Source organism: Homo sapiens, chromosome 17 (assembly GCF_000001405.40).
Source record: "Homo sapiens chromosome 17, GRCh38.p14 Primary Assembly".
NCBI classification, from domain to species: Eukaryota; Metazoa; Chordata; class Mammalia; order Primates; family Hominidae; genus Homo; species Homo sapiens.
The window spans coordinates 49,223,260-49,237,646 of record NC_000017.11 but is presented as its reverse complement, the minus strand read 5'-3'; the positions used below and the strand labels follow the sequence as shown (position 1 = coordinate 49,237,646).

The following is a 14,387-nucleotide window of genomic DNA, read 5'->3' as shown; positions in this document are numbered from 1 at the left end:
TCACTTGAACCCAGGAGGCAGAGGTTGCAGTGAGCCAAGATTGCACCACTGCACTCCAGCCTGAGGGACAAGAGCGAGACTCCATCTCAAAAAAAAAGAAAAAAGAAAAAAAAGATCTAAGCCTTGATCTATATCATTGCCCGAATCTTCCCAGGATGGGGTGGGGTGGGGTAGCACATTTAGAGCAATTAAAGGTCAATTCAAAACTCAGGTTTAGCAGGCTAGCCAGAGCCACAGGGTGATACGTGAGCCAGTTACTAGACTTTGGAGGACCAATTCACAGCCCAGGGTTGGAAAATAAAACTAAGCCTTACTCTAGGGGGAAGTGGATGGGAGGCAGATTTGGTGAATGCCCGAGTGCCACAGGGGAAGCAGACAGGTTTCTGCGCGTTTGAGTGAACTCTAGGACACAGGCCAGAATATTTCAAAAGTGTTTATTACAGAGCCGTCCTTGGGCTGGGGACCCAGGTGACCAGGCAGGCTGCTGCCTGTGCAGAGAAGGGAGCAGAGATGTTTCTGCCCCCAGCTCCTCCTGTACTTCCTGAGATCCCTCTAGCCCCTGTCCCTGCTCTAGCCTTGCCCTTTGGACCTCTTCTGGGGCTCTGAGGAGAGGAAACGCTCAGGCTAGCTCTGGTTTGGAAATGAGGGTTCTTGGAGGCAGTTTTGCTTCTACTATGCTGTGGAGCAGGGGGAGCCAACCAAGACTCCCTCTCTAGTCTCTTTAAATAACAAAGGATCCTCAAAACCAGTCAGATCTTGACAAGCTTCTGCCCAAGTAGGGAGATGAGGTCCAAAGGGGAGCAACTTGTCTATGGCTGGGTGTGGTGGCTCACACCTGTAATCCCAGCACTTTGGGAGGCCGAGTCAAGCGGGTCACCTGAGTTCAGGGGTTCAAGACCAGCCTGGCCAACACATGAAACCTCATCTCTACTAAAATATATATATATATATATATATATATATATATATATATATATATACAAAAATTAGCTGGGTGTGGTGGTGCACCCCTGTAATCCCAGCTACTCAGGAGGCTGAGACATGAGAATGGCTTGAACCTGGGAGGCGGAGGTTGCAATGAGCCAGGATCACGCCACTGCACTCCAGCCTGGGTGACAGAGTGAGACTCTGTCTAAATAAACAAATAACACAAACAAGAGCATCTTGTTTCAAGTCACACAAGTTCAAACTCAGCTACCCTGATTGCAAGTCAGACTGTTCTCTAAGCCAAAACTCAAGGAATTCTCAACCTTAGTAGGTCAAAAGGTGCGATCCCTAAAGAAAATACTTAATTTAAGAACACAAACCTTTCTCCTCCTTCCTTTCCCCTAGGGCATCACCTTGCCTAGCAGGAGGCAGGAACACTTTCTCTAGAGCAGGTCTTGTGATGTTTTGCTTAAGAATGCAGTTTCTTAGCTGAATGCCTGGGTTCAAGTCTGGCTTCAGCCACCTCTTGGCTCTGTGACCTTGGGCAAGTTACATACATCCTGTTCCTCCTGTTTCTCATCTGTAAAATGGGAGAATGAGTAGATTACAGGGCTGATGTGAGAATGAAGTAAGTGGAGCCTCTTAGTGCTGAGCATGCAGTATGTGCTTTTCGTTGTCTTGGAAGGGAACTGTGAAGCCAAGAAAGGGGTCTAGTCAGCCCTGGTCACTAACCCCCAGCACAAGGTTTTAGTCGCAGAATGCCCTGCAACACATCTTGCAGAATTGCCAGCACGAGGACACCCTCGGTGGCCTCTTCCTCCTGAGCCCACCCTCATCAGTCCTCAGATCACTGAGGGCCCTGTCCTTCTGCTTTTGGGGGGCAGATAGAGCAGTGCAGACCTGCACCCACCATCCAGCCTGACCACCACTTGCCACACGGAGCCCTTGGGCAAGACGCTTTCTTTGTTTTTTGTTTGTTTGTTTTTGTCTTTCAGCTTTTATTTTAGATTCCAGGGATACACATGCAGATTATAAAGGTATATAGGGAGCTGAGATCACCCCACTGCACTCCAGCCTGGGAACTGAGCGAGACTCTGTCTCAAAAACAGCAACAACAACAACAAACAACAACAACACATAGCTATATTGTGTTATGCTGAGGTCTGGAGTATGACTAAACCTGTCACTCAGGAAGTGAGCACACAGTACCCAATACATGGGTTTTCAACCTTGGCCCCTCCTCCCTGCTCCCCGCAAGGCGCTTTCTTAATGTCCCAGAGCTTCTGCTTTTTTCATGTGTGAAAATGGGAATGCTGGCCGGGCGCGGTGGCTCACGCCTGTAATCTCAGCACTTTGGGAGGCCGAGGCGGGCGAATCACGAGGTCAGGAGACCGAGACCATCCTGGCTAACACGGTGAAACCCCGTCTCTACTAAAAAATACAAAAAATTAGCCGGGCGTGGTGGCGGCCGCCTGTAGTCCCAGCTACTTGGGAGGCTGAGGCAGGAGAATGGCGTGAACCCGGGAGGCGGAGCTTGCAGTGAGCGGAGATCGTGCCACTGCACTCCAGCCTGGGCGACAGAAAGAGACTCCGTCTCAAAAAAAAGAAAAAAGAAAATGGGAATGCTGCGCTTAAACCCTATTTCCAGGGTGGTGGGGGGATCATGTGCCTGGTACCTAGTTGATTCCCAAAACTCGTTCATCCTTCCCAGGTGGAGTGTGCGGGTTGAACTCATGCCCATCTGCCCCTCCCTCCCACCTTTGCATCTCCCACCACCAGGAAGGAGGCCAGCTGGAGAGCACGAGGCCACATTCTTGGACTCTTGGCCTCTTTGGCTCTAACACTGAAACCTTGGGCAAGTGACACACCCTCTTTTGAAGACCAGGTGGATTGAGCTGTCCCTGGCAGCCTGAGTCAGGGTTCACCAGGAACTCAAGTGAGCCCTATTGAAACCACCTTTGCAAAAATCATAACTGAGAAAATTATGATAGTAAAAGATATCAGACCTAACTGACCCCATCTTGTTTCTAACTTCTCAACTGTCCTTGTTCATTCCTAAGCGTAGGCCGAACTAGCTTTGGAAAGAAATTTAGTGTATAGTTTATATAATAGCCCTTCCCAAATGGCTAAACTGTTCTGGTAAAACTAATGAAAGGCCACCAGCCACCAAGTCAAGATGAAAGGGGCTGGAATTCTAAATATTACCAGCCATTATTCCGGAGGTTATAAGATTTGCAACTTCCCTAAATTACTCTTGAAGGTAACATCACTATTGTGAACCTAAGATCGGCCTTTCGAGATGTCTTTTCAGGTTTTTCCATTTCTAACAACCAGAGGGCCCCACCTGGACCTGCCAACCAGTTCTGTGGCCCCCCACCCAGGAACTGACTCAGCAGAAGAGAACAGCTTCCACTCCCTATGATTTCATCCCTGAGCCAACCAATCAGCACTCCCGATTCACTGGCCACTACCCACCAAATTATCCTTAAAAACTCGGATCCCCGAGTTTTTGGGGAGACAGATTTGAGTAATAATAAAAGAGTTTTGAGGGAGACTGATTTGAGTAATAATAAAACTCCAGTCTCCAGCACAGCTGGCTCTGCATGAATTATTCTTTCTCTATTACAATTACCCTGTCTTGATAAATCGGCTATCCTAGGCAGCAGACAAGGCGAACCCCTTGGGCGGTTACACTGTCACCTAAGATGACTCCTGTTCACAAGATCTCTGCCAGGTTGGCTGACTTGAGTCCTAAGGTGAAACTCACATGAGGAGAAGAGGATCTACAGCCCATGTGCTGGGCAGAGGTCTTAACCGAATGGGGGATGGGTTTCCCATTCCCTTTCTATCCCCATGTTTAGGTACCTGACTGATCATCCAACTCACTGGTACAAGGAAAAGGGAAAGTAAAGAAAGCTGAAAGAGAGGTAGAATTGTGTCCTGATGCTTTTGGCATTTAGGAGTTTTTTTGGGTTTTTTTCCCCCCTGAGACGGAGTCTTGCTCTGTTGCCCAGACTGGAGTGCAGTGGCATGATCTCTGCTCACTGCAACCTCCGCCTCCCAGGTTCAAGCAATTCTCCTGCCTCAGCCTCCCAAATAGCTGGGATTATAGGTGCATGACACTATGCCCAGCTAATTTTTGTATTTTTAGTAGAGACGAGGTTTCACCATGTTGGCCAGGCTGGTCTTGAACTCCTGACCTCAAGATCCGCCCACCTTGGCCTCCCAAAGTGCTGGGATTACAGGCGTGAGCCACCACGCCCAGCTGGCTTTTAGGAGTTTCTACAGCTTTTTCACAAAGGCGGTTTCTAGGTAGCACCCACGAGCTTTGGCACTCCCACCACCTGGCTGAAGGCAGAACTCCGCAGTAAAAACTTGAAGCCACCAGTGGCCAAAGGAAGTTATCTGCCTACCCTCCCTAACCCCATCAGTGAATTAGGAAACCAGGCTGAAACTGCTGCTAATTGCCTCAAAAGGTTAGGATTTGAATCAGTTGCCTCCAGGGCACTTGTGTGACCTTGAACAAGTCCTTTTATCTCTGAGTCTCAATTTCTTTATAAAATGGGGATGGATAAACTGGGTGTGGTGGCTCACGCCTGTAATCCCAGCACTTTGGGAGGCCAAGGTGGGTGGATCACCTGAGGCTGTGAGTTTGAAACCAACCTGACCAACATGTACTAAAAATACAAAATTAACTGGGTGTGGTGGCACATGCCTGTAATCCCAGCTATTCCGGAGGCCGAGGCAGGAGAATCATTTGAACCAGGGAGGCCGAGGTTGTGGTGAGCCGGAGATCGCGCCATTGCACTCCAGCCTGGGCAACAAGAGCAAAACTCCATCTCAAAAAAAAAAAAAAAAAAAAAGAGGAGGGGGAGGGGATGGATAGGCTGGACACAGTGGCTCACACCTGTAATCCCAACATCCCAACATTTTGGTAGGCCAAGGAGTGTTGAACACCTGAGGTCAGGAGTTCAAGACCAGCCTGGCCAACATGGTAAAACCCCGTCTCTACTAAAAACACAAAAATTAGCTGGGCATGGGAGCAGGTGCCCGTAATCCCAGCTACTTGGGAGACTGAGGCAGGAGAATCGCTTGAACCCAAGAGGCAGAGGTTGCAGTGAGCCGAGATCACGCCACTGCACTCCAGCCTGGGAGACACAGCGAGACTCTGTCTCAAAAATAAATAAAATAAAATAACATGGGGATAACACTGGAACAATCTGTTATTGTGAAGACAAAGTGAAGGAACACAAATGGAGCACTAACCTAGAGCTAAACACAGCAGGGGACTTGTTTCATTCAACATCTTTTTTTTTTTTTTTTTTTTTTTTTTTGAGATGGAGTGTTGCTCTGTCGCCCAGGCTGGAGTGCAGCATGATCTTGGCTCACTGCAACCTCTGCCTCCCGGGTTCAAGTGATTCTCCTGCCTCAGCCTCCCGAGTAGCTGGGATTACCAGTGCATGCCACCATGCCTGGCTATTTTTTTTTTTTTTCTATTTTTAGTAGTGATGGGGTTTCACCATGTTGGCCAGGCTGGTCTCAAACTCCTGACCTCTAATGATCCACCCGCCTCAGCCTCCCAAAGTGCTGAGATTACAGGCATGAGCCACTGCACCTGGCCTCACTCAACAAACATCTATAAGGCCCACTGTGCACCAGCCAGGCTGCCTATGCTAGGGGATGGGGGTACATCAATAAGACAAACATGGTCCTCATGTTGCTTACAGGAGAGGAGGGATGACAGACAATGAGAGGGACAGTATGATACCCCAGCCCTACCAGCTGGGTGACCCCAGACAAGCTCACTCTTTTTTGTTGTTGTTTTATTTTGTTTTGTTTTGAGACAGGGTCTCACTCTTTCGCCTAGGCTAGAGTGTGGTGGTGTGATCACAGTTTACTGCAGCCTTCACCTCCCAGGCTCAAGCTATCCTCCCACCTCAGCCTCCCGAGTAGAGCTGGGACTACAGGTACATGCCACAATGCCTAGCTAATTTCTTAATTTTTTGTAGAGATGGGGTCTCCCTATGTTGTCCAGGCTGGTCTCGAACTCCGGGGCTCAAGCGATCCTCCCACCTTGGCCTCCCAAAGTGCATTCTCCCCACCTACACACCCCTTTGTGACCCAATGGAGTCAGGTGTGTCCGGGTTTGAACGGCTAGGCAAATAATTTCTCGAGTGTTGTGAACATTCAGCCATAAACGCAGCGACCTAGCTCGAATGCCCGGTTCATAGTATGTTCTCAGTAAATACTAGTTTCACGTCTTTCCTCTCGAAACACTATCTTCTCTCCTTCTCTTCACTAGCAGGCTTTGAGGGCCAAAAGGAGGAGATTAGGGTGGGGGAGAAACACACTCTTAGGAAGCAGGGGAGAAAGTGCGTTTTTTATTTATAGGGCCATCTGCAAAAGGGGCAAACTGTCTGTCACCACCCGCTCCACCAACTTTACGGGCGGGGGTGGGGGTAGGGAGTCATTCCTCCCGCCAACCCCCGCAATCCTCAGTAACCTATAATCTGGGGAAAAGGGTCCCGAGGGCTGGGTCATCCCGTGCCTCCCACTGGGTTTAGGACGCGACAGCGGAATGGGCAGGAGGTGGAGGTGCACTTCTGCAAATCTCAAGAACCGAAGCCCTGGAGGCGGCGGATGAGAAAGTCCACAGCCCTAGCAATTTTGGGTGTGTAGGCAGGGATTTAGCGTATGTCCACAGCCGCTCTAGTGAGGGTGCCCCCACCCACGTTCCTCGGAAGGGCAGCGCTCCATCCCCACCCTGCTACCCTTTCCCCGAGAGCCTAATCCCACCTTAGCTGGCGCTCCCGGAGCCTCCGGGGCAGGAGGGAGGCGTGGCCTCGGGCGGCCCGCCCCTTTGATGTGCGCCGGCACCGCTGCGATTGGACAGTCGCTTGTGACGTTGGGGACTGCGGTGGGCTCCGCTGCTGCAGCAGCCGCAGCGCCGGCCGCGGCTCCGGCTCCGGCTCCGGCTCCCGGGCATTTAAAGGGGACGCGGCGGCTGCCCGGGGGGGATGAGGGGCAAGTGGAGGGGACGGCTCAGACGCACATCATCCTCAGTCCCTCGGGACTGGAGGGACTCGTGAGCCGGAGCCCAGAAATCCGGGGGTGGATAAGACACCGCGTCCCCTCCAATTCCCGTAAGCACCCCTTGCTCCATCCTGCGCCCCAATACCTCAGCTAGCCCCCTTCCCCACTTCTTACACTCCAAACTCAGCCGGGACAGACCTCTGCTGCCGCCGCCCCCACGTGAGTCCTGGGCTCCGGGAGATAGGGGAGGGCTGGGGTCCCGGCGCGGGGTGGGGGCTGTGGAGTTTGAAGGCGCTCCTTCACGCGCGTGGCACTGGGGGAGTTCTGGAGCTCAGGAGTGAGTCCCCTTCTCTCTCCTACCCAGGAACATAGTGCTGGGGTATCCCTCCGTCCCCGACTCTGACAAAGCCAAGGAATTGGTGTCCCCTTGCTCCCTGCCACCCACAATACCCCTCCCCGAGCCGCGCACCCCCCGCCCGCATTGGAGCCCAGCGCCCGCCAGCCGGGGGTGCGCCAGAGTGCTGGCTTCCTAGTCACCTCTAAAAATATCTCTCCCCCAACCCTACCGGCAGCTGCCACCTCCCTGCCCCTGCCCCTGCCCCTAGGATCCCCTCCCAGCTTGTCCTCCCACCCAGGGAGTGCCCAGAGGTGACTGCTAGACCCAGACGCCTCACTGGCACCAGGGCGCAGGGCCACCACCGCCAGCTGGTCAGGACCGCAAGCTCCCTGCCCACTGGAGTCTCCAGGGCCAAGGGGGGAGCTCCAGCTGCAATTCTCCCAAGAGGCGCCAGAGACTCCTGAGTTCTAATCGCGGTTCCGATGCTGTGTGACCCCTAGGATGTTAGCCTGACCTCTCTGGGCCTCTGTTTTTCCTATCTGCTGCTCGGGCGTGGTGAGCAAGGAAGATGGTCATGTTTGGGAGCACTGTCTGGGAAAGGGAGGGAATTCTAGCTTAGTTGTTGGATCTGATTTCTAGTGATTGATACAAGGAGACTTGTTTTTGGACAGAGAGGGCTTGTTACTGTGGTCTTTCTGGAGTCCTCGCCTCCCCATCCTCATTCTGCACATTTCCTTTGGAAAACTATCCCAAAACTTTTCTAGGAACTCCATCTGCCCAGTAAGAGGGGAATTTGAAACTTAGGGCCTGTATCAGAGAGGGGCCTGTTTCCCTCCCACCCCCTTCCCACAGATTTAATCTAAGAGCATTTGTGTGAAAGGCGGGAGAAGCAGGCAGGGATCTGTGACCCGGTGCAGAATTAAGGAGGCAGGCACTGCTTTTAGGTGGGACTAGAATATGGACTCCCTGCAACCCCCCAGAAGCCCTTCTCCCTGCTCTGGCCTGTGAGAGAAGCTCAGATCCTGCCCCCTACTCTGAGGGACTCTGTTTGGTGACCACAAAAGGATTTGATGACTCAGAACAAAGGTGTCAGAGGTGAGAGACCTTTTGGAGCATCACAGGAGCCAAATTCCAACTGGGGAAGGGGTTCCTCTGACTCCTGTGGGGTGGGGACGAGGTGTCACAGCATGGCCTTCTCAGTTTTCTGGGGAAGAAACCCAAGATGCCTGACTTTCTGCCTTGGAGACTGAAAGAAACAAGGGCAACTCACCAAACAATAAGTGTTTAACTGAATCCCCTAGATACTATTATTAGCAGAAAAATGTAACTGTATTTTATGATGAGAAATGAGGAGTTTTGTGTGTGTGTGTGTGTGTGTGTGTGTGTTGGGGATGGGGTTACTCCCTCTGTCACCCAGGCTGGAGTGCAGTGGTACCATTACAGCTCACTGCAACCTCTGTCTCCTGGGTTTAAGTGATCCTCGTGCCTCAGCCTCCCAAGTAGCTGGGACTATGGGCACAAGCTACCATACCCAGCTAATTTTTTTTTTTTTTTTTTTTTTTGAGACGGAGTCTCGCTGTCGCCCAGGCTGGAATGCAATGGCGCAATCTCGGCTCACTGCAAGTTCCGCCTCCCGGGTTCACGCCATTCTCCTGCCTCAGCCTCCCGAGTAGCTGGGACTACAGGCGCCCGCCACCACACCCAGCTAATTTTTTGTATTTTTAGTAGAGACAGGGTTTCACCATGTTAGCCAGGATGGTCTCGATCTTCTGACCTCGTGATTCGCCTGCCTCGGCCTCCCAAAGTGCTGGGATTACAGGCATGAGCCACCACGCCCGGCCTTAATTTTTGTTTTTAAAGAGACAGGGTTTTGCCATGTCACCCAGTCTGGTCTCAAACTCCTAGACTTAAGTGATCTGCCTGCCTCGCCTCCCAAAGTGTTGGGATTACAGGCTTAAGCCACCCTGCCTGGCTGAAAAAATGAGAAGTTTTGACCATAATTAATGATCAATAGAATAGAAAAAAGGAAGGAAGGAAGGAAGGAAGGAAGGAGGAAGGAAGGAAGGAAGGAAGGAAGGAAGGAAGGAAGGAAGGAAGGAAGGAGAGAGACAGGAAGGAAGGAAGGGCAAAGTAATGAGACCCTTCTCTATAGGATGAAAGCTGGTCTCTGGGTAGCTGTTGGTGACCCCTTGGAATCTTTGTATCTACCCCTTGCTTCTCCAGATGCTGCATGTTTGCTTTTACAAGGGGAGTGGCATCCCTGACCTTTCTCTTATAAATCGCCTGGCTGAGGTTGGACATGTGATATCAGCTGGGAATCTGGAAGGTTGGAAGTCCCTCCAGATAGGGACTGGGGACAGCTCCAACCCATGCCATTTCCTTGTCCCTCATGCAACCCTCCCCTTCTCTCCCACCTCCTCCTTGACCTGTCTTCTCTCCCATCCCTCACCCTCTCTTTGCCCACTGCTTCATTCAGCTTTGACCACCTCTCCTAATTCCTAGATTAGAAGTTCTTGGAAAAAACTGAGAGCCGCATTCCATCCCTGCAGAAGGATTTAACACATGTGTGGTCTGGTTGTTGTGAGGGAGGGAGTACCGCAAGATGGATATTGCTAGAGCCTGTACCCTGCTCCTGGGATGTCCCCGTCTCTGTCCTGGGGCGATTGCTTCTCCCTCCTGAATAGTCAGGGGAGAGTGTCACCTTGACAGAGGGGTTTACAGTGTCACCATTGTCACCACCAGAGGGCAGCAGCCAGCCAGACCTCTGCTTCTCTCAAGGTCTTGTCTCCTGGCTCTCTTTATCTTTCCAAATCTTGTCCCAGCTGCTTCTGGTCTCATTCAACCCCAGGAGCACAGGTGGGAGAGTAGAGAGGCACTGGAAGCTGTAGGTGGTGTCCTTTGCCACTGTCTTGGTGAAGTCCCCAAGAGGTTAAACCCAGTTCCCAAAGCCACACCAAAGTCTTGCCAAGATTTCAACCTGACTCTTCTGTGTGACTGCCGGACCCCTGAGAGCAACAGGGAGGCCATTCCCAGATCATCTGTGAGACCTGGCTGGGGGTCCCAGACCCCAGCTATGGTATAGTAAGCTTTGGTCAGCTCCTTCCTTTTTGAGGGCATGAGGAAGGCAAAGCTGCAGTCAAGCGTTCATGAAGCAGTCTATGCCCCATGTAAACAGCGTGGCTGGTTAGTTAACCTCTCTGAGCCCTTCTCATTGGCTGAATTCATGACTGATGAGTAGTGAGAGAATATGAGTGAAGGTGATTTGTAAACTATGATGTGTCAAACACATTTAAGGGACAATGATGATACTAGAGAAAAAACACTGGACTCAGGCTCAGATGTGGGTTTGAGATCTGTCTGCCATTTACAGTGGGTGACTTTTGGGAAAGTCAGTTAACTTCTCTGGGTCTCCAATACCATCTGAAACCTCTCTAGAGTTGTAGGCACTGGGCCTATTTGAGGGGTTGTTTTTGCTAAGACCCTGGGAATGCCTCCTGTAGCTCAGCAGAAGGACCAGGGCCAGGTGGGTATTCCTGGTGGAAGCAAAGTCAGCTGACTGGGCACCCTCAAATGAACTTTTGTGGTTGTCAGGAACGTGTGACGACGGCTGGAGGCCAACAGAGTCCCTACAGGTGGTGCTCACGGTAATGCACCGACAATGAGTGGCTGTTTTCCAGTTTCTGGCCTCCGCTGCCTATCTAGGGTAAGTGGGTCCCTCCAGGGGTCTCCTAGGATGAGGCCTCAGCCCCCAGTTTCCCATCACCTTTCCATAGGGCCTTGGGAGAGGCCCTATCCAGCCCGTTTTAGGTTTACCCTCACCTCTACTGGGGCTTCATTAATTCCTAGAAGCTTCCATCCCAGGTGTGGGGTCCTGATGCTTTATATCTGCAATTTGAAGGATCCTGGGCCACTGAAATGCCCACTGGATGTTGATGAGACCAGAGGGTGACTCTAGGGATGAGGTGGAAGGGACAGCTTGGTTAGGGAGGCAGATAGCCAATCGAAATCCCAGCTCCGAAATGAGGAGCTTGGGTTTCTGTTTCACAAGGTGTGCCAGGCCATAAGCACACCAGGAATATGAGAGAGGGGCTTAGGAAGAAACCAGAAAGAGAAACAATCCCATCTCAATTAACTGGGGTGGGAGCTGGGCGGGAGAAAAGCAGTGTGTGGGTATCTGGAAGCTGCATGTCACCTGCTCACTGCCCCTCTGCGCCTCTCACACACTGGCAGGCAAAGGTGATGGAAACTTGCTGCCAAGGGCTCTTGCTGCCTCCATTGCTTGCCTTTCCTTGTGCCCAGACATGTCCCCTCTTGTCCTCTGTCCTCTCCCATGCTGCCTACCACCCTCCCCTCCAACAAGAATCTGGCCCAAGGTCTCCGCTTCCTGGAACTCCCTTATCCCTACCCCTACTCTGTCTTCCTGTCCAGCAGTCTGTCTCCAAGATCCCCTAGAATGACCTCCTCTCAGCCCTCTCCTCCACACCCCCCAAGTCCCCACTACCTGGCCCCTCCCACTCCTCTGCCTTTTCAGCCACTGCTGCTCTCTTCTCTTCTCCCTTACCTGTCTCCCAGGTGTGTCATGGCCTGGTGCGGGAGGCTCTTACCTCCCCAAGCCCCACTGCTTCTCCTGCTGCCCGCTTGCTTCGGACTCTGGCAGAAACCCCACCTGCTGACACGTTCCTCCTGGGGAATTGGCAAGTGATTAGTGATGAGCTGTCAGCACAGGGCCCTAAAACTCCCCGAAGAAGCTGTGCCCCATCCCTAGACCCCTGTTCAGTGCCATTGGGCTAGAAGCAGCTCCCAGAGAGCCATAGATTCCCCATGGCCCAAAAGGAGAATGAGGAAACTGGTCCAGTTGGGTGGATGGGTGGTTGGTTTCCCTTGACTCTACCTCAGGGAATGAGGGAGGGGAGAGTTCCCACCACCCTTTCTTGATCCACACCAACAACAGGGGCCACTGGAAGTCTCCAAAACAGTCCAGTCCAGAAACCTCCCCAAAGTGGTGATCCTTGGAAGCTGCTCTTCCCTTCTTTTGACCCTTGTTAAGCCCCATTGGCCCTCGATGAGAGTAGGGGAAACAGGTGCCGAGAAGCCCTCTGGGCATAAACCCCACTGCAGTTAACTAAGAGGTGCCACTGGAGTAGTCAGGGAAGGCTGGGGATAGAGGTGGTGGCATTGGGTACTCCTCCCAGCTTAACCAGACTTGGGTCCTCCTCAGGTGTTGGATGTGCCAGCGCCTCTGGCCGTGGCCCGCTAACCAGCCTCTCCCGGGCGGGCTCCTGCCGCGCCCCCTCTCGCTTGCCCCCTCCTCCTCCTCCTCCTGCTGCTCTCCCCCCTGCTCCCAGGACGGCAGGATGGCCGCGCAGGGCGCGCCGCGCTTCCTCCTGACCTTCGACTTCGACGAGACTATCGTGGACGAAAACAGCGACGATTCGATCGTGCGCGCCGCGCCGGGCCAGCGGCTCCCGGAGAGCCTGCGAGCCACCTACCGCGAGGGCTTCTACAACGAGTACATGCAGCGCGTCTTCAAGTACCTGGGCGAGCAGGGCGTGCGGCCGCGGGACCTGAGCGCCATCTACGAAGCCATCCCTTTGTCGCCAGGCATGAGCGACCTGCTGCAGTTTGTGGCAAAACAGGGCGCCTGCTTCGAGGTGATTCTCATCTCCGATGCCAACACCTTTGGCGTGGAGAGCTCGCTGCGCGCCGCCGGCCACCACAGCCTGTTCCGCCGCATCCTCAGCAACCCGTCGGGGCCGGATGCGCGGGGACTGCTGGCTCTGCGGCCGTTCCACACACACAGCTGCGCGCGCTGCCCCGCCAACATGTGCAAGCACAAGGTGCTCAGCGACTACCTGCGCGAGCGGGCCCACGACGGCGTGCACTTCGAGCGCCTCTTCTACGTGGGCGACGGCGCCAACGACTTCTGCCCCATGGGGCTGCTGGCGGGCGGCGACGTGGCCTTCCCGCGCCGCGGCTACCCCATGCACCGCCTCATTCAGGAGGCCCAGAAGGCCGAGCCCAGCTCGTTCCGCGCCAGCGTGGTGCCCTGGGAAACGGCTGCAGATGTGCGCCTCCACCTGCAACAGGTGCTGAAGTCGTGCTGAGTCTGGCCGCCTGCAGGGGGGTACCCGGGCCAACGGCGGAGGGGGCGGGGAAGGGAGATTCGGCAAAGACAGCTTTACTACTCCCTTTTCCCTTTGGCTTTGTTATGTCCCTCTGGGAATTTCTGGAATCTCGTATTTGGGGGCTTGGGGAAGGGGGCTCAGAGCCGTCCCTATCTATTCAGTTAACCCACCTCGGCTGCCTCCCCCACTCCACTGTGCACGGTTGAGTTCTGGAGTCTGACCCATCGCGGGGTGGCGCGCAAACCTTGGAAGGCAGCAGTATTTCCTGGTCCTCCCAACTGGGAGGAAGGGGCCCCCCCGGCAGGTGAGAGAAGGAACATCTCCCGCCGCTGTAACTTGTTGCCTCGGGCTGCGTGACCGCCCCTCCTCCAGTCTACTGTGGAGGGAACCCAGGATCCTGAAATTCTCCTGGCCGCAAGAACTCCCCACAGAGGCAGAAGAGGGTCTCCACCTATGGCCCCAGGCCTTTGCGATCTTGCTTCACCCACCGCGACCCCACACTATTTCTGTGCTGTCCACACTCTCTTGCCTCCCGACCCCCGCACTCCCTTCTAGCACCCCCAAAGGAAAAGCCAGAGGAACAATCGCCTCCTGGTGGTGGTACGAGGTAGCGCACCGTCCGGCTCGGGTCCGGACAGCCAGTAACCTCGCAGAGAGTGACGGTGTCTCCTTGCATCCCAGCCTCGTCTATGCAGCAAGAGACCAGGGACTTCACCAAAGTCACCCTCGCGGGCTGGGCCTTCCACGCATCCCCCCCACCCCCCATGGAACAGAAAGCCATGTTTTTAAGCAGAACCAGCGAAACCCAAGCCCCTCCTTCCTCTGGTGTTTTACAACTATAAAGGAGGTGAAGGGGGAAGAAATGACTGAGATCTCTCTCGCGACAGTCTCAGAGTTGACAGTGAGGTGCTCTCGGAGAGCCCCGCTTAAGTCATGGAGATCGTTCCCACTCTTGGGCAAGTGCC

General features: G+C 53.5%; 1 protein-coding gene across 5 annotated transcripts, besides 3 other annotated features; it reads left to right on the top strand.

Moving 5' to 3' along the window:
• The first annotated feature begins 6,859 nt into the window (after positions 1-6,859).
• On the top strand, positions 6,860-14,281 carry PHOSPHO1 (phosphoethanolamine/phosphocholine phosphatase 1). Of its 5 annotated transcripts, none has more exons than XM_047435505.1 (4): positions 6,860-7,070; positions 10,889-11,000; positions 11,870-11,991; positions 12,516-14,281. In XM_047435505.1, exons 2-4 carry the CDS (start codon positions 10,956-10,958, stop codon positions 13,399-13,401), a joined length of 1,053 nt encoding a protein of 350 aa, XP_047291461.1. In that variant the 5' UTR covers positions 6,860-7,070; positions 10,889-10,955; the 3' UTR covers positions 13,402-14,281. The 5 variants fall into 5 exon arrangements, with proteins under 5 accessions (XP_047291461.1, XP_047291460.1, XP_047291462.1 ...); XM_047435504.1 differs by having other exon boundaries at positions 6,860-7,179; XM_047435506.1 differs by lacking the exon at positions 11,870-11,991 and having other exon boundaries at positions 12,643-14,281.
• Positions 12,557-13,464: an enhancer, noted in NCBI's record as "H3K27ac-H3K4me1 hESC enhancer chr17:47301545-47302452 (GRCh37/hg19 assembly coordinates)". NCBI's record gives its function as "activates a minimal SCP1, AML or CMV promoter by ChIP-STARR-seq in naive and primed H9 embryonic stem cells {active_cell/tissue: H9 hESC(naive and primed)}" and the evidence as "EXISTENCE:reporter gene assay evidence [ECO:0000049][PMID:30033119]".
• Positions 13,465-14,373: an enhancer, noted in NCBI's record as "H3K27ac-H3K4me1 hESC enhancer chr17:47300636-47301544 (GRCh37/hg19 assembly coordinates)". NCBI's record gives its function as "activates a minimal SCP1, AML or CMV promoter by ChIP-STARR-seq in primed H9 embryonic stem cells {active_cell/tissue: H9 hESC(primed)}" and the evidence as "EXISTENCE:reporter gene assay evidence [ECO:0000049][PMID:30033119]".
• Positions 13,899-13,968: an enhancer, noted in NCBI's record as "active region_12358". NCBI's record gives its function as "activates an Ori minimal core promoter by ATAC-STARR-seq in GM12878 lymphoblastoid cells {active_cell/tissue: GM12878}" and the evidence as "EXISTENCE:reporter gene assay evidence [ECO:0000049][PMID:35858748]".

Excerpts from the sequence above, each read along its gene's own strand:
- PHOSPHO1 (XM_047435505.1), top strand. The coding sequence starts at position 10,956 with ATGAGTGGCTGTTTTCCAGTTTCTGGCCTCCGCTGCCTATCTAGG. Across the intron at positions 11,001-11,869 it reads GCCTCCGCTGCCTATCTAGG|GTGTGTCATGGCCTGGTGCG; the intron begins GTAAGTGGGTCC and ends CCTGTCTCCCAG. Across the intron at positions 11,992-12,515 it reads ACGTTCCTCCTGGGGAATTG|GTGTTGGATGTGCCAGCGCC; the intron begins GCAAGTGATTAG and ends GGTCCTCCTCAG.